The 25,361-nt window shown below is 38.5% G+C and overlaps 1 protein-coding gene across 1 annotated transcript in view, besides 1 other annotated feature; it reads right to left on the bottom strand.

Moving 5' to 3' along the window:
- SPON1 (spondin 1) overlaps nucleotides 1–25,361 on the bottom strand; it is a 305,411-nt gene that overhangs the window by 104,920 nt on the left and 175,130 nt on the right. The gene's annotated exons all lie outside the window — the stretch shown is intronic.
- Nucleotides 19,045–19,557: an enhancer, noted in NCBI's record as "NANOG hESC enhancer chr11:14165203-14165715 (GRCh37/hg19 assembly coordinates)". NCBI's record gives its function as "activates a minimal SCP1, AML or CMV promoter by ChIP-STARR-seq in primed H9 embryonic stem cells {active_cell/tissue: H9 hESC(primed)}" and the evidence as "EXISTENCE:reporter gene assay evidence [ECO:0000049][PMID:30033119]".

Here is a 25,361-nt window from a genome sequence, read left to right as displayed (position 1 = left end):
GGGTTCTAAAGATTCAATGACATTCATGTAAAGTGTTTAGAAGTCTGGTATTTGTTAACACACAAAAAGTGCACTGTTATTATTAAACTTAGGCAATCTGTGATATTTAGATTGGAAGAAGCTATCTCCAATCATTCTGAAATCATGCCAGTGAATGTGAGGATAAGATGAGTGGTGACAAGGAAGGTGACTTCAAAAAGATGTAGATTCAACCCAAGATTAAGCAAAATAACTATACTCAAAATAACTGTATTGCAGAAGCTCTCTTGACTAGCCAACACTTAACCTCTTTGCAGGACCAGCCGATGCTTGCCATTCCCTCTGTAGTATTATAAACACTGACAGAGCTAGGGCATCCGGATGATTCAGCTGGGTGCCCACTCTCCGCTGTGGCAGCACGCTTCTGCTTCTGCAGTAAACTTGCATGTTTACCAAGAGTAAGTTGTGTTTGTTCTCAAACCTCCTTATACCAGTTATTCTGACATTGTGCTTACATAATTTGGTAAAATCTTTTGAAATTGATGAGATATGAGTGAGAAAAGGAAGGCATTTTTTATGACTGCTCTGAAAGGACTCAACAGAGGCAAGTTGCTGAAAATAATGTATAATTAGGTGAGAGCAAGATATCTGTAAAAGATTGGGAAAAGTTGTAAAACTCAGGAGTTCTATACTCAGATGGTTCTGCAAGTATCTTTAAGTACAGATTCATTTTCAAGAAGCCTAAACTGGAAATCAGGGGTGATAAATTATTGGCATGATTTATATTTCTGATTGAAGGTACACTTATCTGATTTAAGTTAAACTATTTGACATATCCATGTATTAATTTTTAAATTCCCTGCTTTAACACATTCTTCTTTAGGTTATAGTAATCAACTTCTGCTCTCATTTGAATTGGAATGGAGGGCATCTACCAAACTAGACATTCCTATATATACATTGGTTAGTGTTTCCCCCCTCTCTCTACATATATGTGTAATATACATGGGTTAGTGTTCATATTTCATTTTATATTTTAAGAAAACCTTCATTATTTTGTCTTTTTTTTTTTTTTTTGAGACAGAGTCTTGCTTTTCTGACCAGGCTAGTGTGCAGTGGCACTATCTCAGCTCGCTGCAACCTCTGCCTCCCGGGTTCAAGTGATTCTCATGCCTCAGCCTCCCGAGTAGCTGGGATTACAGGCGCTTGCCACCATGCCCAGCCATTTTTTTTGTATATTTTTAGTAGAGATGGGGTTTTGCCATGTTAGCCAGGCTGGTCTCGAACTCCTGACCTCAAGTGATCTGCCCCACCTTGGCCTCCCAAAGTGCTGGGATTACAGGCATGAGCCACCACACCTGGTGTGGAAAACCTTCATTATTTTAATATACAGATAGTCCCCATCTTATGATGGTTCAACTTATAATTTTTGACTTTATGATGGTATAAAAGCAATACCCATTCAGTGGAAACTGTACTTCGAGTACACATACAACCACTCTATTTTTTACTTTCAATATAGTATTCAATAAACTATATGAGATATTCAACAGTTATTTCAAAATAGGCTTTGTGTTTGATAATTTTGCCCAACTTTGGGTTAATGTAAGTGCTCTAGCTGGATGCAGTGGCTCATGCCTGTAATCCCGGCACACTGGGAGGCCGAGGTGGGTGGATCACCTGAGGTCAGGAGTTTGAGACCAGCCTGGACAACACGCGGAAAGCCCGTCTCTACTAAAAATATAAAAATTATCTGGGTGTGATGGTGTGCACCTGTAGTCCCAGCTACTTGGGAGGCTAAGGCAAGAGAATCACTTGAACCTGGGAGGTGGAGTTTGCAGTGAGCCAAGATTGCACCACTGCACTCCAGCCTGAGTGACAGAGCAAGACTCCATCTTATATATATATAAATATATAGATATAAAAAAATATATATATAAATATATAAATATATATAGATATACAGATATATAAATATATAAATATATAGATATATAAATATATAAATATATATAGATATATATAAATATATAAATATATATAGATATATAAATATATAGATATATAGATATATATAAAATATATAGATATATAGATATATATAAAATATATAGATATATAGATATATATAAAATATATAGATATATATAAATATATAAAAATTATAGATATATATAAATATATATAAATATATAGATATATATAAATATATATAGATATATAAATATATAAATATATAAAAATATATATAAATATATAAAAATATATATAAATATATATAAATATATAAATATATATATAAATATATAAATATATAAATATATATATAAATATATAAATATATATAAATATATAAAAATATAAAAATATATAAATATATATAAATATATAAATATATAAATATATATAAAATATATATAAAAATATATATAAAAATATATAAATATATATAAAAATATATATAAATATATAAATATATATAAATATATATAAATTAAATATATATAAATATATAAATATATATAAATATATATAAATATATAAATATATATATAAATATATGTAAATATATATATAAATATATAAATATATGTAAATATATATAAATATATATATAAATATATATAAATATATATAAATATATATATGTAAATATATATATAAATATATATATAAATATATATATAAATATATATATAAATATATATATGTAAATATATATATAAATATATATATGTAAATATATATATATAAATATATATATAAATATATATATATAAATATATATATAAATATATATATAAATATATATATATAAATATATATATATAAATATATATATAAAAATAATGTAAGTGTTCTGAGCACATATATGGTAGGTTAGGCTGAGCTATAATGTTCAGTAGCTTAGGTATATTAAGTGTATTTTTGACTTAGTGATATTTTCAACTTTTTTCAGTTGTAACTGATAAAACATCCTGAGTTTATCAGGATGTAACCTCACTGTAAGTCAAGGAGTATCTATAGTTCTTTTCTTTTTAAAAAAAATTTAAAAAAATTTTGTGGGTGTATATATTTATGAGGTACATGAGATGATTTGGGTCATCCATGCAATGTGTAATAAGCACATTATGGGGATTGGAGTATCCATTCCCTCAAGCATTTATCCTTTGAGTTACAAACAATCCAATTATACTCTTTAAGTTATTTAAAAATGTACAATTAAGTTATTATTGACTATATTCACCTATTATGCTATCAAATAGGTTGTACTCATTCGTTCTCACTATGTTTTTGTACCGGTTAACCATCCCCATCCCCCCCACCTCCCACCCCCCACTACCCTTCCCAGCCTCTGGAAATTATCCTTCTAATCTCTAAGTCCAGGAGTTCAATTGTTTTGATTTTTAGATCTCATAAATAAGTGAGAACATGTGATGTTTGTCTTTCTGTGCCTGACTTATTTCACTTAACATAATGATATCCAGTTCCATCCATGTTGTCGCAGATGACTGGATCTCATTCTTCTTATGGCTGAATAGTACTCCATTGTGTATATATATCACATTTTCTTTATCCATTCATCTGTTGATGGACACTTTGGTCATTTCCAAATTGCGGCTATTGTGAACAGTGCTGCAACAAATATGGGAGTGCAGATATCTCTTTGATATACTGATTTCCTTTCTTTTGGATCTATACCCAGCAGTGGGATTGCTGAATCATATAGTATCCCTATTTTCAGTTTTTTAAGGAACCTCCAAACTATTATTCTCCATAGTTCTTGTACTAATTTGCATTCCCACCAACAGTGTATGAGGGTTCCCTTTTCTCCACATCCTCAACAGTATTTTTTATTGCCTGTCTTTTAGATATAAGCCATTTTAACTGGGGTGAGATAATAGCTCATTGCAGTTTTGATTTGCATTTCTCTGATGATCATGATGTTGAGCACCTTTCCCGTAATTTCTTTCCAAAGGCATCAAAAAAATTTTTAATAATGACTGTTTCACATCTAATAACTCAAAAAACAGAAAAAAGTGGCATCAATTCATGACATCTTAGAGGTAATAATCAATTAGAGTCTTACTAATTACTATAAGTAATTAATTATGTTAAATCCATAGAGGTTTTTTTCTTCAGTCCTAAGAGTTGCAGAGTTTTACCAAGGCACTCACATTGAAGGAAGTCACACTTGATGTAATATTATATTTCCCAATATAAATTAAGAATAGAAACAAAGTAAGAGATATTACTTAAGAGGAAAGATTTGAACAATTGCAGACAGACGTACAGTTCTCCACACCTAGCATATTAGAACTGATACCAGCAAGTGAGATTGGGTTAGAGACACAAATCAGAAAGATGCAAGAGAAAGACTTGCATGTAGGAGAGACAGAACCCAAGTACTTAAAGAAGAGATACTAGTTTCACCTGCAACACTGATAAGCGAGCTTATATGAGGCCAACAATCTCCCAAGAACAACTACAAAAAATGAATAAAACAAAACAAAGTAACTTGGTTTAAAGTATTGGAAAGGTCTCAATGCAGCCAGGACTTGAAGGCCAAGATCCTGGAGAGAAGGGAAATGCATGGAGGTGAGTCAGATATTCCAAACTGCTTTTTTCCCTTCAGGCTCTGGCTTTTTCATCAGCCACACAAGGCTAAGAGGCTGAGAAGCTGAGTACAGCTTTCATCAGTCTCATAAGACTGGGGAGAGAAAATGACTTGAGCTAAGATCAAGTCCCTGAAGAGAAAGGGACAGAGAAGTGAGCCTGATGTTTGGCACTGCTGTTTCTTCTGAGGCAGTTGCTAATTTGTAAGAGTCATGGTGAAGGAAGTTTGCAACTCTGGGTAGAAATTAGTGGCTAAGAGATTAAACAGAGCTTTTAGCAGCCTCAGATTTGGGGAAGATTAAAATTGGAAATTGGAAACCATAAGGAAGAGACACACTGGTAAGCACTACAGGCTTTAAGTGAGGAACCCTGAAGAGCTACACCCATGGAATAAGAGTGAACCATAAGTAAAAGAGCCCTCACAAAGACAGAATCCAGCTTAAAAACAACCCAACCCAAGGCCTGATTAGGTGATTTTCCATACTCCAACTGCCTGCTAGAAGAAGCAAATCTTTGTGAAGGAAGATAATGTCATCCAGAGCCCCTATAATTTATCATACACATGTCTGGCATTCAATAGAAAATGATGAGACATACCAAGAAACTGAAGCAAGGGAAAAACAAATAATAGAAATAGACCTACAAATGATCTAGATATTATAGTTACCAGACTTGGACTTAAAAACTATAATTAATATGTTCAAGGAAATAGAAATCTAGATGGAGAATTTTAGCAACAAACTGGAATTTCTAAAAAAAAGAATCAAATGAAAATTCTAGAACTAATATTAATAAATATAACTAGAATTAAGAACAAGTTTAATAGCATTTCAGACTAGCAGAGGAGAGGACTAGGAAATATCCACGCTAAAGTATGGAGGGAAAATGATAAATAATATACAAAAAAAGCATAAGAAGCATATGGAAAATGATGATAAAGTTGAACATATATATAATTAAAGTTCCAGAAGGAAAGGAGAAAGAATATTGGGATAGAACCAATGTTTGAAGAAATAAGGGCCAGAATTTTCCAAAACTGACAAAAGATACCAAGACATGGATGCATGAAGTGCTAGAAATCTCAAAAACAATAAATATAAATAAAGTCATGCCTACCTATGTAGTAAAACTACTGACAATCAGAGATAAAGACAAAATCTTAAAAGCAGCTATGTAAAAAGACATGTTATTTTCTAACAAGCAACCATAAGACTGACAGATGACTTCTCAACAGAAATCATGAAAGCCACAGACAGACAAGTGATGCCTTAAAAATACTGAATGAAAATAAGTGGCAACTTATTTAAAAATACTCTTCAAAAATAAAGACAAAATAAAGACATTTTCAGATAAATAAGAACTGAGAATTCTTTGCCTGCAAATTCTAAAAAATGCTGAAGGAGTTTTTCAGGTAGAAGGAAATCATCCCAGAAGGAAAATGGACATAAAAAAAGGAAGAACAACAGAAAGAATAAATATATGGGTAAAGCCAAATGAATTTTGACTGGGCAAAGCAATACTAATAATGTGTTGTAGGGTTAAAATATATATGAAATTTAATTATTTGGTAACAATAATACTTAAGATGGTAGTGGATTGATATAGTTTGGCTCTCCGTCCTCGACCAAATCTCATGTTGAATTGTAATCTTCAATGTTGGAGAAGGGGTCTGGTCAGAGGTGATTGAATCATGGGGGCAGACTTCCCCTTGCTGTTCTTGTAATAGTGAGTGAGTGCTCAGAGATTTGGTTGTTTAAAAGTGTGTGGCATCAGTGGAACAGAACAGAGCCCTCAGAAATAATGCCGCATATCTACAACTATCTGATCTTTGACAAACCTGACAAAAACAAGCAATGGGGAAAGGATTCCCTATTTAATAAATGGTGCTGGGAAAACTGGCTAGCCATATGTAGAAAGCTGAAACTGGATCCCTTCCTTACACCTTAGACAAAAATTACTTCAAGATGGATTAAAGACTTACATGTTAGACCTAAAACCATAAAAACCCTAGAAGAAAACCTAGGCAATACCATTCAGGAGATAGGCATGGGCAAGGACTTCATGTCTAAAACACCAAAAGCAATGGCAACAAAAGCCAAAATTGACAAATGGGATCTAATTAAACTCAAGAGCTTCTGCAGAGCAAAAGAAACTACCATCAGAGTGAACAGGCAACCTACAGAATGGGAGAAAATTTTTGCAACCTACTCATCTGACAAAGGGCTAATATCCAGAATCTACAATGAACTCAAACAAAGTTACAAGAAAAAAACAAACAACCCCATCAACAAGTGGGCGAAGGACATGAACAGACACTTCTCAAAAGAAGACATTTATGCAGCCAAAAAACACATGAAAAAAATGCTCACCATCACGGCCATCAGAGAAATGCAAATCAAAACCACAATGAGATACTATCTCACACCAGTTAGAATGGCAATCATTAAAAAGTCAGGAAACAACAGGTGCTGGAGAGGATGTGGAGAAATAGGAACACTTTTACACTGTTGGTGGGACTGTAAACTAGTTCAACCATTGTGGAAGTCAGTGTGGTGATTCCTCAGGGATCTAGAAATACCATTTGGCCTAGCCATCCCATTACTGGGTATATACCCAAAGGACTATAAATCATGCTGCTATAAAGACACATGCACATGTATGTTTATTGCGGCACTATTCACAATAGCAAAGACTTGGAACCAACCCAAATGTCCAACAATGATAGACTGGATTAAGAAAATGTGGCACATATACACCATGGAATACTATGCAGCCATAAAAAATGATGAGTTCATGTCCTTTGAGGGACATGGATGAAATTGGAAATCATTATTCTCAGTAAACTATCGCAAGAACAAAAAACCAAACACCACATATTCTCACTCATAGGTGGGAATTGAACAATGAGAACACATGGACACAGGAAGGGGAACATCACACTCTGGGGACTGTTGTGGGGTAGGGGGAGTGGGGAGGGATAGCTTTAGGAGATATACCTAATGCTAGAGGACGAGTTAGTGGGTGCAGCGCACCAGCATGGCACATGTATACATATGTAACTAAACTGCACATTGTGCACATGTACCCTAAAACTTAAAGTATAATAATAATAAAATAAAAATAAATAAAAAAATAGATGTGTGTGGCACCTCCCCTGCCTTCCTCCTGCTCCAGCCATGTAGGACATGTCAGTTTCCCCTTCACCTGCCGCCATGATTGTATATTTCCTGAGGCCTTCCCAGCCATGCTTCCTGTATAGCCTGTGGAACTGTGAGCCAATGAAACCTCTTTTCTTTGTAAATTACCCAGTCTCAGACAGTTCTTTATAGCAATGTGAGAATGGACTAATACAGAAAATTGGTACCTGGAGTGGGGCATTGCGACAAAGATACTTGAAAATGTGTAAGTGACTTTGGAACTGGGTAATGGGCAGAGGTTGGAACAATTTGGAGGGCTTAGAAGAAGATAGGAAGATGAGGGAAAGTTTGGAACTTTCCAGAGACTTGTCAAATTGTTGTGACCAAAAGCTGAAGTGATATGGACAGTGAAGCCCAGGCTAAGGTCTCAGATGGAGATGAGGAACTTACTGGGAACTGGAGTAAAGGGCACTCTTGCTATGCCTTAGCAAAGAGACTGGCGGCATTGTGTCCCTGCTCTAGAGATCTGTGGAACTTTGAACTTAAGAGTGATGATTTAGGGTATCTAAAATTTAGAAATTTTATCTTAGAAATTTAGAAATTTCTAAGTAGCAAAGCATCCAAGATGTGGCCTGGCTGCTTCTAAAAGCCTACACTAACCTGCATAAACAAAGAAATGACCTGACACTAAAACTTATACTTAAAAGGGAAGTACAGCATAAAAGTTTGGAAAACTTGCAGCCTGGCCATGTGGTAGAAAAGAAAAACCCATTTTCTGGGGAAGAATTCAAGCCTGCTGCAGAAATTTGCCTAAGTAAAGAGAAGCCAAATGTTAGTAGCCAAGACAATGGGAAAAATGCCTGTAAGGCATTTCAGAAACCTTCACAGCAGCCTGTCCCATCACAGGCCCAGAGTCCCAAGAGGGAAAAATGGTTTTGTGGGCCAGGCACAGGGTCCCACTGCCTTGTGCAGCCCTGGGACATGATGCCCTGCATCCTAGCCTCTCTAGCTCCAGCCATGGCTAAGCGGGGCCAAGATATGTCTCAGGTCACAGCTCCAGAGGGTGCAAGCTGGAAGCCACCAAGGCTTCCACACAGTGTTAAGCCTGTGAGTGTGCAGGTGGCAAAAGTTGAGGCTGACATATATTCCAGAGGATGTATGGAAACACCTGTATGTCATGGCAGAAGTCTGCTGCAGGGATGGAGCCCTCATGGAGAACCTCTACTATGACAGTGCAGAGGGGAAATGTGGGGTTGGAGCCCCCACACAGTATCCTTACTGGGGCACTGCCTAGTGGAGCTGTGAGAAGAGGGTCACCATTCTCCAGACCCCAGAATGGTAGATCTACCAACAGCTTGCACCATGTGCCTGGAAAAGCTGCAGGCACTTGATGCCAGTCTGTGAAAACAGCTGCAGGGGCTATACCCTGCATAGCCACAGAAGTGGAGCTGCCCAAGGCCTTGAGAGCCCATCATTTGCATCAGTATGGCCTGGATGTGAGACATGGAGTCTAAGGAGATTATTTTGGAGCTTTGAGATTTAATGACTGCCCTGTTGGGTTTCAAACTTGCATAGCGCCTGTAACCCCTTTATTTTTTGCCAATTTATCCCTTTTGGAACAGAAGCATTTACCCAATGCCTTTACCCTCATTGTATCTTGGAAGTAGCTAACTTGTTTTTTTATTTTACACACTCATAGGCAGAATGGACTTGCCTTGTCTCAGATGAGACTTGGGATTTGGGCATTTGAATTAATCTGGAATGAGTTAAGACTTTGGGAGACTGTTGGGAAGGCATGACTGTGTTTTGAAATGTGAGAAGGACATGAGATTTCGAAGGGGCCAGGGGCAGAATGATATGGTTTGGCTCTGTGTCCCCACATGAATCTCATGTTGAATTGTAATCCTCAGTGTTGGAGAAGGGGTCTGGTGGGAGGTGATTGAATCATTGGGTGGACTTTCCTCTTGCTGTCCTTGTGATAGTGAGTGAGTGCTCAGAGATTTGGTTGTTTAAAAGTGTGTGGCCCTCCCTGCTCTCTTCCTCCTGCTCCAGCCTTATAGGACATGCTGGCTTCCCCTTCACCTTCTGCCATGATTGCAAGCTTCCTGAGGTCTCCACAGCCATGTTTCCTTTACAGCCTGTGGAACCATGAGCCAATTAAACCTATTTTCTTTATAAGTTACCAAGTCTCAGGTAGTTCTTTATAGCAATGTGAGAGCAGACTAATACATGGGCTAAAGGGAATTACAGTGTTCTAAGGTTTTTCCATTGTCCAAGAAATAGTAAAAGTATGTTAAATGCTAATATATTAGAATCTAATAAGTAAAGGATGTATGTTGTAAAAGATTGAAGATAGAAGAAGAAGTAAAACTAACATGCGAATGGAGGTCAAAATAATAAAGTTCTAAACCAGGCCATACATCTGCCCTGCAACAAATTCTGCAGTTGTCTTAGGGCCCTAATTTGGAGTGCTTGGAGGTTGACTTCAGACTCACTTCTTTGTGTATTATATGTACTTGATATATATTTACTCGAATTTGGGGTCACTATGCATGGGATAAGTTTCAAATGATCACCATGTCCATTTGAGAAAGAATATCCCTTGGCCACTGAAACAGAGGAAACCCCCATCTCAAAAGATCCAACCATGCTTGCAGTCATGAATACAGATCACAAGCCAATAAACACATCCTTTATATTTGCATTGATTCTTGAATGCATTATGCAGGGAAGTCATTGCATTTTAAAGAATGAATTCATTTTTCTCAAGATAATATGAAAGTACCTGTGTTTCTTGGTTACATATATGCACTTATGAAATCCTATGAAATGATTTGTCTCTATATCATATTACTGACAAGCAAATAGTCTTCCCTTCTGTATTCCCTATCAAGAAATTCCCAGTAAGAATCAGATGTGTTTCCATGCATTTAAAAGCTATTTCAAAATAAGATTTCAGTTTCCCCAATGCTACTCCAGAGAGCTGCTCTCCAAGAGCTGTAGCTATCAATGAACAGGCTGCCCATAACATACATGGATCAATGCCCTTTAGAAGAGCATTGGCTTGCTAGTTAATAAGCTTTTGATTTTCCTTACTCATTGATTAATGAAGCAGTAGTTTTGCCTTTGAATAGAAGATAAATTAAGAAGTACTGTAACTGGAGTCTGTTGGGAAATAGGTTGTAGTTTGGAGAACTGGAAGTAGCTATGGAGACAAAGGAGGTAAAATGGCTAACTTTGCTAAAGGAGTCCCTCTGTCAGTGAACCGAGGTCTAAAGCATTCAACTCAATTCAACAGACACTTCTCAATGTACTATGAGACATATGAAAAGCATGACTAGGGAGATGGAGGGGTGATTCCAGACTACACCCCAGCTCAGACTGACTCCTACTTTTGTTTTTAGGAGCAGACACCCATAATACAAGGCAGGAACTGGGCCAAATGGGGTTACAATATGGTCTGGAAGATCCAAGGAGGCAGAAATGACATGCATTTGGAAGGAGTTGGAAAGGTATTCTGGCAAGGAGGGTATGGAAGGTTGAGTGGAATTCTGATGGATACAGATTGGGAGAGAAAGGTCTTCTAGGGATGGAAACCTTATTGGCTCCACAGTGTCAAAAGGACATGTTATAATGTTGAGGTAGAATCTGAAGAGGCAGCAGACTATCTCTCCATGAGATGGGGCTCCTGTTTTATCTTTGATTTGTATATTTCTATGTTAAAGAAAAATTGCTATGTTTACATGATTATAGAACAATTAGAACTGTGATTTATAGTTTATAATTTCTGTCACTAATTTCTTATGCTCTGACATTTCTTTCCTTCTCTGAGACAAAAAATTTAAGCTGTTGCATGGAGGTAGAAGGCATTATAACCCAGGAGGATGACATGTCTCCCACCCTGGGTCTTATTCATCTCTGTGCTGGGGTCTGTAGCACAGGGTCTCACTCAGAGCTTTGCACACAGTAGATGTTGACAATTATTTGTTGAATGAACAAATACGTTGGTCTCTGGTCGCTTCCTTGCTCAGAAACCCTCAATGGCTTCCTAATTACTTTAGGTCTACTTGTAATCTCTGCATCTCTCCAGCCTGGTATTTAAGTTCATTTATGAAAGGACTCCACCTTTCTTTGCAGGTCCACCCCCTACCACTTTAGGCACCTTTCATTCTAGGCAAGCTGGGTGGACTGCTTTGGTTTCTATGGAGGACATCTTCTATGGGCTACAAGAACTTGTTTGCTTGGAGAATGAAAGGCTAACCTTTGAAAGAGCTTCAGGATAACAGAGCTGAAAAACTACATGGGCAGGAGGGACATTCCACAGATGTTCTGACCAGAGGTGGGAAATGAACAATGCATTCGCATATGGCTCTTTGGAAAACAGATCTGCAGACCAGATGCAACGGTGGCACGGATTCAGCTCTTGGAACAGCTACTCCATGTAGCCAAAGGGCATACACTGGCTGCCTTCCTAACATGATCAGTTAATGAGTCCATCCTCAGACACAGAGAACGTAACAACAAAAACTGCTATCCTGGTCCTGATGGGGTCCAGCAAGAGGAAGACAAGAAAGGAGGTAATTTTAGCATCTACTGAGAATCCAGAAAAGTGAGTTCAGTGTTGCTCCTGATACCTGCAATTTCCCAAGGCAAGGTTAAGCCCTACACTGTGCTCCCTGTGTCCTGTACTTGACTTTCCTAGCCTTAGTTGCACTGTAGTGGAATCACCTATTTTTCTTTTTCACAAATGATTACCATTTCAGCAGGTAATCAATATAACGAAAACATTAATGAGACATTTTCTATTCTATTTTTTTAGTTTCACGCTCACCATGGGTCTTTTTGTTCCCCATTTTTCTATTCTTTTATCTTTTATTATTATTTTTAGTTGACACATAGTTTTGTACATATTTACAGGGTATAGTGTGATATTTTGATACATGTACACAATGTAAAATAATCAAAGGGTAATTTGCATGCATATCACCTCATTTATTGTTTCTTTGCGTTGAGAACATTCAAAATCTGCTCTTCTAGCTATATTTGAAAACATACTGTAGATTGTTGTTAATTACAGTCATGCTCCAGTGACATTGGAACTTATTCCTTCTATCTAGTTGCAATCTTGCATCCGTTAACTAACCTCTCACCATCCCCTGACTCCCAGTCTCCAGTAACCACTATTCCACACTCCACTATTATGAGATCAACTTTTTCAGCTCCCACATATGAGTGAGAGCATGTGATATTTATCTTTCCATGCCTGGCTTATTATCACTTAACAAAATGTCAACCAAGCTCATCTACATTGCCTCAAATGATGGCATTTCATTCTTTTTTATGGCTAGATAGTATTCTATTGTGTATATACACCAATTTTTCTTTATTCATTGATTTGTTGATGGACACTTATGTTGATTCCATATCTTGGCTATTGTGAATAATGCCGCAATAAACATGGGAGTGCAGTTGTCTCTTCATCATACTGGTGTAATCACCTGTTTTTCTGTCAGTCTTTCCCAAGAGACTAGGAGTGCCTTAAGGACAAGTGATTTCCCAGTCATGCCTCACTTAACAACGGGGATATGCTCTGAGAAATGTGTCATTAGGCAATTTCTTCATTGTGCAAACATCATAGAGGGTACTTACACAAACTTGGAGGGTCTAGCCTACTACACACCTAGGCTATATGGTATAGCCTATTGTTTTTAGGCTATAAACCTGTACAGCATGTGGCTGTACTGAATACCATAGGCAATTGTAATGCAATGGTAAGTATTTGTATATTTAAACATATCAAGGTACCATTAAAATAAGGTATAAAAGATAACAAATGGTACACCTGTATGGAGCTTGCAGGACTGGAAGTTACTCTGTGTCAGTCAGTGAGTGGTGAGTGAATGTGAAGGCCTAGGACATTACTGCACACTACTGTAGACTTAATAAACACTGTACACTTAGGCTACACTAAATTTATAAAAACACTTTTCTTCAATAATAAATTAACCTTAGCTTATTCTAACTTTTTACTTTATACACTTTTTTTTACCTTTTTAACGACTGTAATAATACTTAGCTTAAAACAACAACACAGTGCATGTTGTACAAGAATGTTTTCATTCTTTATATCCTTATTCTACAGGCCTTTTTAATTCTTTTTTTAACTTTTTAAACTTTTTTGTTAAAAGCTAAGATGTAAACACACACATTTTAAAAAATGTGCTTAAGCCTTTACAGGGTCAGGATCATCAACATCATTGACTTCTACTTCCACACCTTGTCCCACTGGAAGGTCCTCGGGGGCAGTAACTCATCACTTTCAGCTTCTAGGATAACAATGCCTTCCTTTGGAATACCTGTGAAGGACTTGCCTGAGGCTGTTTTATAGCTAACTTAAAAAAAATAAGTAGGAGTACCCTCTAAAATAATGATAGAAATTACAGTATAGTGAATACTAGGCAATGGGAATTTTTAGCTCCATTATAATCTTAAGGGACCACTGTCATGGATGCAGTCTGTCGTTGACTGAAATGTTATGCAGTGCATGACTGTATGGTGTTTGATGCATGAATGAATGAATGAATGCAGTCTATGTTAGGTGCACACATCTTTTTTTACCACTAGATGGCAAGTATTCATTGAAAAGTCCAGCTCTAAACTGTCTCAGAGACACAATCTGGTGAAAAGTAAATGTTTCAGTACACTGGAGGAGTACATACACCAGAGTGACGTTTTCAGGGCTGCCTATGTCTCTTCTCTTTTAGCAGAGACAGAAAAAAGTACCAGGAGGGAAGTCAAAAGTCCTGTGTTGCCACTAGCATTTGGACATGTGAAGTATATTTTCTGAGCCTCAGTTTTCTCACCTAAAATAACAGGTGGACTGTAGCTCTCTTGGTCACCAGGAGGAGAACGATCTACCAAGACCCCACAATGTGCTTTCAGATACAGCATCGTTTAAATGTTCCTAAGCTTGGGTGTTTGTTGGTTGGTTGGCTTATTTTTTTTTATTTCAACTATAAAATAATTACTTTTTGAATAGATAGCACAAAAACATGGTACCACATTCCAAAGGCACCAAAGGGAATACAGTGAAAGGTCCCTCTCTTCGTTTTCCGCAATCTCTTAACTCTCCACCCCAGAGGCAACCACTATTAATATTCTTATATACCCTTCAAGAGACGTAAGTACACATCTTTAGAAAGATAGCACAAATGGGACCAATCATGAGTACCCTGCTGCATTTTCTTTTTTAATGAAACAATTTGTCTTGGAAATGTTTAATATCAAAATCTCATATTTATTTAACTGGTCCCCTATTCATGGATATTTAATTTATTCCACTCTTGTGTTACAATGTCCAATAAATAGAATGTGCCTAAATGTGAGTATATCTGTGTATATAAATTTCTGACTGAACTGCTGAGTCAGAAGAAAGCGCTCTCCAGTGTAGAAAGGTGTTTCCCTACACCTCTGACAATATAGTTGTCAAAAGTCTAACAGATCAAAAATTGTAGCTCTGTGAAACTAATTTGTATTTCTATGATTGTAAATGAAGTTGAACATCATTTATAATATCTAAAAGCCATCTCATTTTCCTTTTCTGAGACCTGTCCATGTGTTTTGATCTATTGGTTTGTTGGTCTTTTAAAAACTGACCATAAGAAGCTCTTTATATATCAAAAAAAAATTAGCCCTTTGTTTAGCGAGACTCCTCTCAAAAAAAAAAAAAGTCTTAGTATTTTCCACTACTTAAAAAATGTTTTGGGCCAGCCGTGGTGGCTCATGCCTATAATACCAGCACTTTGGGAGGCCAAGGCAGGCAGATCAGTTGAGTTCGGGAGTTCGAGACCAGCCTGGCCAACATGGTGAAAGCCCATCTCTACTAAAACTATAAAAATTAGCCAGGCTGGTGGTGGGTGCCTGTAATCCAAGCTACTTGGGAGGCTGAAGCAGGAGAATCACTTGAAACTTGGAGGCAGAGGTTGCAGTGAGCCAAGTTTGTGCCACTGCACTCTAGCCTGGGCAATAGAGTGAGACTCCATCTCAAAAAAAGAAATGTTTTTAGTTTACTTCATTAACCTTTTATGATCTCCGGGTTTTGTGATGTGCTTGGAAGAAGCTTTGTTCTAGGTTATAAAAATGGTTCCAGCCAGGCGCAGTGACTCACGCCTGTAATCCCAGCACTTTGGGAGGCCAAGGCAGGTGGATCACCTGAGGTCAGGAGTTTGAGACCAGCCTGACCAACAAGGTGAAACCCTGTCTCTACTAAAAAAAAATACAAAAATTAGCCAGGCATGGTGGCAGGTGCCTATAGTCCCGGCTACTCAGGAGGCTGAGACAGGAGAATTGCTTGAACCCGGGAGGTGGAGGCTGCAGTGAGCCAAGATCGCACCACTGCACTCCAGCCTGGGCAACAGAGCAAGACTCCGTCTCAAAAAAAAAAAAAAAAAAAAAAAAAAAAAAGGTTCTTTCATGTTTTCTTCTAACGTTTTTATGTTTTCATTTAAAAATATTTAAATTTTTGATATATTTGGAGCTTGTATTGGTTCCAGGATTAAGGTATGAAGAAAAATATTTTTTCCAGATGGCTTCCAGTTGTGCCATTACCACTTATTGAAGGATCTAGTGTTTTTCCAACTGATATAAAATTATACTTTTTTCATATACTTAACTTACAAAGAATTTGTGTCTATTTCTGGACTTTCTATTAGATTCTATTGATCTGTGTATTCACTCTCTAGCTTCACACAGTTTTAGTTAATGTTGTTTTATAACGTTTTTATATCTGGTTTAGCCAGTCTTCCCTTCATTATATGCTTTTTCAAACATTTTCTGACTATTGTTGACTGTTTAGTTTTCTATTTCTATAGCGTCAGCCTGTATAATTTTTAAAAAATTATCTGGGATTTTTGAGGGAACACTTTAAATTTACAGATTAAGTTATGCAGTATTTTTTTTGGGGGGAATATTTGGTTTCTTATCCAAGTTTTCTTTGTTCATTTAAATATTATTCTTTTAAAAAGGTACAGTAGGCCAGGTGTGGTGGCTCACGCCTGTAATCCCAGAACTTTGGGAGGCCAAGGCAGGTGGATCACCTGAGGTCAGGAGTTCGAGACCAGCCTGGCCAACATGGTGAAACCCCGTCTCTACTAAAAATGTAAAAATTAGCCGGGCATGGTGGTGGGCACCTGTAATCCCAGCTACTCGGGAAGCTGAGGCAGGAGAATTGCTTGAACCTGAGAGATGGAGGTTGCAGTGAGCCAACACGGTGCCACTGCACTCCAGCCTGGGCAACAGACAGAGACTCTGTCTCAAAAAAAAAAAAAAAAAGTATAGTAATTTGTGTTCATGGTAAAATTCAAGCAATACAAGAGGCCGTATGGCAAAATGTGAATGAACCTTTCAGTTCTGCCCCTTACTCTCTGTGTGCTCTAGAGGCAAGGAGTTTCTGGTGTATGTTCATAGAGATATTCTATGCATATATAATCCTATACATGAATATAATCATTTCACTCTAACCTGCCATTTTTCATATATGGAATCAAGCTATACACACTGTTCTGCTTTTTTCCCATCTAACTATATACACCAGGGAGCATTCTGTATCAGTACACACAAATCTGCCTTATTCTTTTTAATAGCTGCATGGTATTTGACCCGTTAAATGCATCCAGAGTTTCTAATATGACCCCTATTGATGAAAGTTTGCTTGTTCCATCTCTTAAAAATAAAATACTATAATGAATATTCTTCCTCATATACTTTTGCACAAGACTATTTCAGAAAGACATATTCCTAGATATAGAATTATTTTATTATGTTGATGTATAAGGAAAATATACACACAACAATGTGAATATACCTAACACTCCTGAACTGTGCACTTAAAAATGGTTCAGATGGTAAATATTATGTGTTTTCTTTTACTACAATAGAAAAAAGAAAACGTATAATTTTGATAGATATTGCTAAATTGTCTTCTAAATCTTAAGGTAATATATTAATGATCTCTCACTTAAATTTGCCTTCTATTTGCAATATTTTGGCTCAGTTACTGTAAAAATAGATATTTTAGTGAGTCAAATATTCTGTAAGTCTTGAATAAGACTGTCCCACATTTCTCTCATACAGAGATTCTCAGAAAAATTCCCAGGGATCATGATGCTGTCTTATAAAACTGTAGAGGTTAAGAAGTAATGCTAAGAGGCCAGCTCTATACCCTTCCAGCAAAGGCAGCCTGTGCCAGTTTTATTAAAGAACAGGCATCACGAAATCACTCTGGCAGCTTGTCCTACTGTAATCTGGATTTGTTTGAAGACTCAACTGAAAGCAAACAAGAGGTTTCATATGACTCAAATCATACCTTTCAAACAATGTCTTAATTTCTGTATCGAGTATCTGTGACAGAATCTTTATTTGACTCCTTACCCTATCACCACTCTGAGTGTCATTTTATTTCTACCAACCACAAGTGCCCACTTACCCATACTACATGGAATTAAGCCTTGAATGAGGTAGGGGAGAACAAAGGAGGTGTGTGTCATCAATGTAACCCAAATAAGGTTGGGCACCCTTGGGGGCCATTTGCAGCAGGGTGACACACCTAAAAAAACAGACCCAATCTGACTCCCAGAAGCCTTGAAAAAGTATTAGAGGTCTTTGCTGAAGTTTTCTTGAGAAGGCAGCAAAGGGAAAATGACATCACACAATATTCTGCAAAGTATACTGCTAAAAGTTCTCTTTTGAAGTTTCCTCTTTTAGAAATCAAATTTACTCAAAGTCTTCTTTGGGTTTTTACTTTTTATTTTTCATTATTATTATTATTATTATTATTATTATTATTATTGGAGATGGAGTCTCACTCACTCGGTCACCCAGGCTAGAGTGCAGTGGCACAATCTCAGCTCACTGCAACCTCTGCCTCCCAGGTTCAAGTGATTCTCCTGCCTCAGCCTCCTGAGTAGCTGGGATTACAGGTGCCTGCCGCCACGCCTGGCTAATTTTTGTATTTTTAGTAGAGACAGGGTTTCACCATGTTGGCCAGATTGGTCTCGAACTCCTGAACTCAAGTGATCTGCCTGCCTTGGCCTCCCAAAATGCTGGGATTACAGGTGTGAGCCACCACGCCTGGTCTAAAAGTCTTCTTTGGATCTTTCTTTCTCCCTTTTCCTTGTCTTTATGCTCTAGTAGATTCTACCTAGCCCAATTTATGTCTTCTTTCCATTGTATTCCCACCCAGTAAAACCGAAATACCCTTTTAGAAGATGGAAGGAAAAAAGGGTTCTAAGTCCTTCCAATTTAATTTTTTTGTTGCAATAATAAGAGTAATAATGAGCTCATACTCCAAGCCATGCTTTGTACACGTATTATTTCATAACCAACAGAGGTAATTCATATTCTTGTTATTGTTTTTCAAATGTAAAATCTAAGGCTCAGTGAGCTTAGGTGACCTACTCGAGGTCAGAGACTTAAGAAGTACAGGTTCTCTACTGTTTTCATGGTTCTTAAGTAACAATGCAAGGCAGCAGGTGGCAAGGGTAAATAAGTGGCCTTAACAGTGCTTTGGGGCCCCATACTCTTTCTCTGACCTCTGCCTTTCCATATCCTTGTGTTTAGGCCTAGTAATGTCCCTTGATCCCACCTCAATTGCTAAACCAAACTCTAGACCCAGCATTTTGTCACCCAATTGGTGCAGCTCTGAACTCTGGGTTTCTGCTGATCTTCCCTCTTCTTTCTTTAGTGCTCCTGAACTTCTTCTCTCTTCAGTGCCCCTCTCTTCTACAGGACTGAAATCCTGCCCTGAGCTCCTGTCCTTTGGCTAGGGCCCTGCAACTCAGTCTAATTCTTGCCCATCCACTGCTGCCCTGAAATATAAATTTATCTTCTACCTTCAGTTTCCCCTGCCCTTTTTTTTTTTTTGGAAACAGGGTCTGACTCTGTCGCCCAGGCTGGAGTGCAGTGGTGTGATCGTGGCTCACTAAAGCCTCTGCCTCCTGGGCCAAGTGATCCTTCCACCTCAGTCCCCCAACTGCTGGGACTACAGACGTGCACCTCCATGCCTGGCTAATTTTTGGTATTTCTTGTAGAGATAAGGGCTCACTGTGTTGCCCAGGCTGGTCTTGAACTCCTGAGCTCAAGTGATCTGCCCACCTCAGCCTCCCAAAATACTGGGATTACAGGCATGAGCCACCACACCCAGGCCTTCAGTTCCCTTCTTAGTATAAACTGCCCTGCCCACAGCCACTGGATATAATAACAGGCCGGATGGTTCTTTACACAGAGGTGGCCACTGGATTGGAGTAAGGGTAGATATCTGATGCAGGGGGCACCATTGCCCAGGCTATCCAGTGATCAACCTGTTTTTCTGGTGCTTCACTAAGAGTCACCAAAACTGCTCAGCTAGCTGTGAGAAGCCAAGGAGGAAGATCCTATGGCTACCATTTGGGGCCATGTGCAACCCAAGTAAGCAGAGGCAGCAGCTCTGTTGAGAAATAGTCGGGGAGAGATTTGCATGGAAGGGCATGGAAAAGACCACCTGACACTGGGGGCAGTGTGGAGGAGGGAGAGAGAGTTAGTGGTCGTCTCAGCCTGATGCCTTCCAATTCCAGCTTTCGTGAGGGTTTTTGTACTCTGCACAAACTTGTGTTCTCATGTGTCCTACTTTCTTTCTACAATAAAGTTTCCTTTGTTCTTAAGTTAGTTTCAGTGGGTTCCTGTTACAATCAAACTAGACTTCACTAAACCACCTCTCTCCTTAGGTTGGGAGCCACATTTCTGCCCCTTGGCTTGTGTCTTGCTACATTCAGGAAGATGTGCTCCATGGCTGCCTCTAGGGCTGTTCTGGAGGTGGCATCGAACTAGCTCCAGCGAGCATCCTGATGAGGCTGTTCCAAGGAAGGGAGGGAGCATGTGCAAAGCAGTGAGTTGGGAATGGGCGTGGAGTTTTACTGTAGCTCTTTCTATATTTGAAGGCTTAATTTATACCCTTAATTGCTTATGATCAACTTTGGGAAAAAATGTTAGGGCAAATTGGGAGATGACACTGTCAAGTGGGGATAGGAGGGGCAGGCTTGGGCAGTGCCTGGGGATGCTGAAGTAGTTGAAGTAGATGGTAAAGGAGTTGTGGCCTCATCCTCTGGACCTTTTCACACTGAGAAATGACACGAACTTGAACATTAAATTTTCTAGTCCTGCAGGGGGTCTTAGGACAAACCCCTCATTTTACTGATAAGGAAACAGAGGCTGAAGAATGAAAACATGGTAATGATAGCTAACATCCAGCAATCTCTTTCTAAGGGCAGGCTCTGCTCCAAGTACTTTACACTTATCAGCTCACTTAGTCCTCAGAATGACTCTATGAGGTTGGCACAATCGCCATTTTCATCTCATAGAAGAGAGAACTGAGACACAGAGGGGTTAAGTAACTTGCCCAAAGTCACATAGTTGGCAGGGGATGGAGCCAGGATTTGAACTCAGGAAATCTTGATTCAGAGGCAATGCTTTTAGACATTATACATCACTACTTCTCATAAGCATGGAAGATCACTGGAGCTTTATTATTATAAATAAAAGCTGGTGGGGTGTGTGTGTGTTTGTGTGTGGTTTTTCCAAACCGGATGAGGCAGCATGTCATGAATCATAGAGAACACTTGAAGTCAGGCCATGGCTTTAATTAAAGAAAAGTGATTAAAAATTTAGAAAATCAAAAATCAGAAAAAAACAATAGTTTAGTAGACATATGTCATCTCCAATGATTTAAAGGAGATGAGAAAAGAAAATTCTCAAACCTTTTCTTCCAGTTCCTGGAGCCATATAAACTGTTTCAACTTTAAAGAAAAAGAACATCTGCTTGTCTATTGCTTCTCATGCCACAGGCGGTGTGATAATCCTGTGGGCTGGTTCAAGTCATCCTCCAAAACAAGGTCTCCTGAAGGTGAAATAATCAATGCCTGTATTAGGGTCCACCATTATCTGACCTCTTATGGTCAGGAAAGCCTTGAATCCAGAGAAATATAAAAGTTGGAATGATTTTTCTAATGGATTTTTAATAAATGGGTGACTCTTCAAAGCTCAGAGTTTTATGCAAGAACCATTCATGGCTTGCTTGTCATCAATTCAGATATTTGTTAGGTGCTACAGATATTAGCTGGATACCTGAAAATGTGGAAAACTGAACTGACACAAAAAGTTCTCTCTCCTTCTACAAACAGATAGAAATGCTGGACAAATATAACAAAACACATTACAAAAATATGTAAACAAGTTTAGAAAAACTGCCCAGATGCCAGAAATAGGGAGGAAAGTCTAACTCAGAACAGTAAGCAGGAGCTAGTGCGTGGTGAGCTGTTGGGGCCCTGGACTGGGATACAGGCCCCAGGAGCTGGAGGCGGGGGTTTAGAAGCCCATGCATGGAGAGAAGGGGAAATCTTGAGCCAGTGAGAAGTGGGGCATGGGGGGGGCACGCCTGCATACAGTGGATGTTTTAAAGGGCTGCCCTGTTTGTGAATAGGGCATGAGAAAACCCTCCATCAAGCATTCGGGAACATGGCAAGGAAGGTTGTTTCTGCCCAAGACACCTCCAAGAAATGGAACTCCCAATTGCTCTCATGTGTTAGTGCAGGGTCCAGACGTATACTAGCTGTGCAGTGGGCAATTCCAATCTGAGAAAGGACATAAAAACTTGGGTGGGACCAGGAGAAGAAAATACAAAGTCACTGTAAAGACACCATCACTTGAACCTTTTTTCCTCCAACAGGAAAAAAAAGAAAAAGAAAAAAAACTACTGAGGCCAAGTGTGGTGGCTCACGCCTGTAATCCTAGCACTTTGGGAGGCCAAGGTGGGTGGATCACCTGAGGTCAGGATTTCGAGACCAGCCTGACCAGCATGGTAAAACCCCGTCTCTACTAAAAATACAAAAATTAGCTGGGCATGATGGCAGGCGCCTGTAATCCCAGCTACTCAGGAGGCTGAGGCAGGAGAATCGCTTGAACCCAGGAGGCGGAGGTTGCAGTGAGCTAAGATTGCACCACTGCACTCCAGCCAGGGTGACAAGAGTGAAATTCCATCTCAAAAAAACAAAACAAATACCACTGAAGATGATCAAACAATTTAAAACCAAAGAAGAAACTAATGTCACTGAGAGAGCAAGTTCAATGAAAAGGAAAAATAGTCTCTAAGATTATGAGAAAATAGAATAATCTGAAAGAGACAATTAGACATATTTAAAATTATTGAAGACATAAAAGTAGCCCTAATGAAGGACTAGAATAGTGGAAAGAAGCAGACGTGGATTGGAAAAGGAGACTCCAGCAGAGAGGAAACCCAACAAGGCCCTGCCCAAATGTGTGTCCACATTTCCCCAATGGATGCACAGATTCCCCTAAGGAATAAGTACCTTCTATGGAAATAGTCATGTATGTGCCTCTCCCACTTTGTTAATTTCGTCTGAGTAGAGACAAAGTGGTCCGGCATTCAACTCTCCAGCCTCCTTTTGTGCCACAATCCCCTCACTATCCTTGTGTCACACTAGTCTTTTTTTAGTTCTAAGCACAATAAGTTATGTTCTCCCACAGGCCCTTTGCATGTGCTGTTGTTAGCATCTAAAATGATTTTCCCCTACACTTGTCTTTTGGGTTTCTGCTTCATGGTCATTTGTTAGGGAGACTTTCCCTGACCGGTTTATCTAAAACAGGCCCCTCCCTACTCCTAATCCTCTTTATGTCACTACCACCCTTGTTGGTTTCTTTTCACTTAAATATATATATATATATTTTACATGTTTTCCTTTTCTCCACTGTTAGGATGTAGGCTCATGAAGGAAAGGAGTTTTCTTAATTACTGCTGCATCTCCAATGCCTAGCATATAGTAGGTGTTCAGTAAAATTACCAAATGAATAAACTAATAAGTTCAATAAATATTTATAAAGTTATTGAATGAACAAACTATATATTCAAGAAACATTTAGGAAGCATCCAATACTATGCCAAGCTCAGGGGATATAATAGTGGGAACGGCAGCTTTAAACCTTGTTGTTTAGTGAGGGAGAGACATCAAAGAAATATGTAAGTGTGATGATGCTAACAATAGGAGAAGGACAAAGTGCTGGGAGAGCACCTGGCAAGATCAATTTAGTACAGAATCAGGGAAAGCCTCCTGGAAGAGGCAACATCTAAGCTAAGTCCTAAGGGATGAATAGGAGTTCACCAGTTAGAAGGCTGCTGGAAGATGTCTGGCTGAGAGAAGGTCCAGAGACAAGAAGGGCATGGCCCTTGTGCATAGACTGAAAGAGGTTCTGTATGCCCAAAACTTAGATTTGCAGCAAGAAATAAAATTGGAGAGGTAAGACAAGGGCAGGACATAAAGGGTATTCAGGCTTTGATAAGGAATTTGGACTTTATCTTAGGGTCAAGGAGAAGCTATTAAACATTTTAAGTGGGGGAGTGGCATGATCTGATTTGTTTTTTATAAAGATGGCCCTGGGGCAGCATGGGCAACAGGAGGAGAATCAGAGGCAGGGGCATCAGGAGGCTAGTGCAGCAATTTAGGCAAGAGATAAGTGGAGGGAGGTGGTGATGAGGGCAGATTGAACTGGATGAATTTAAAAGAGAAGGCACAAGTTTGGGTGTGGAGAGATCAAGGATTCTAGCCTGAATAACCGAGTGAAAGGGGCATCATCTTTGGGCCAGCATCCAGCAGAGAACCAGACACTTAGTAAACATGCCAGAAATATGGGCTTACTGAAGTAGAAATGGTCTTAGTGGGATGAAGTGTTTTCATAACGAGTATTCATAAGCTCACTTTCCACTCCCACACCAACCTACAAGTGTGATCTACCATTTCCTACAGCCCCCGCCTGCCTTGGATTACCCATTTGTGACCTGCCAGGCTAGCCATAGCTCAGTATTTCTAATTCCCAGTCCCCAGGTGTCCTGGCCACCAGGACACATTTGCCTTTGTCCTTCCACGAAAGGGTGAGCATTGTGGCCTTCCCCAGCCCCAGCCACTAGTGTCACTACTGCCAATAATTCTGCTGTAATTTTTCATTAATTTTCTTGGTGTTTTGCAGTTATAGTAACATTAAAATTTATACTCAACAGTATTATTATTAATATACTGTTATTATTATTAATACTTCCACTATTAATAGGATTAGTATTTTTGTTCATTTGTGCTTGAAAGCCATTAGCATAAAATTTACCTCCAAGAATATCTATTGTGATTCTTCATGCCCTTGAAACTTGCAGTGAGCCGTAAGTTTATAATAAGAGAATGCTGGTAAGCATATAAATGTCTTTCTTGAGAAAAGAGGGCTTTTTATTTTCATCATGGCTGGACTCAGGTTCTTTGACAAAGTGATTGGTAGGATATAAAGTATTAAAGCCCGAGAACACTGTGTTAGTTTGCAGATGTTTTCAAACAAGTTTCTGGTTATTCAGAGGACACTTTTGTATTCTAGGAGGATTCATATTCTTGCTTATTTTAATGTTGTTTCTTACCTGACTTACAAAAAAATAAATCAATTGTGTGCTTGCGGGGAACAATATTTAGAAAGATGAGTTATTTGGAATCCTGAAATCACCCTATCCAACTGACTTTCCCAGGAGCTGGGGAACCTGAGGCACTGTTA

Source organism: Homo sapiens, chromosome 11, assembly GCF_000001405.40.
Source record: "Homo sapiens chromosome 11, GRCh38.p14 Primary Assembly".
Classification (NCBI taxonomy): domain Eukaryota; kingdom Metazoa; phylum Chordata; class Mammalia; order Primates; family Hominidae; genus Homo; species Homo sapiens.
This window is presented reverse-complemented; position numbering and strand designations above follow the sequence as displayed.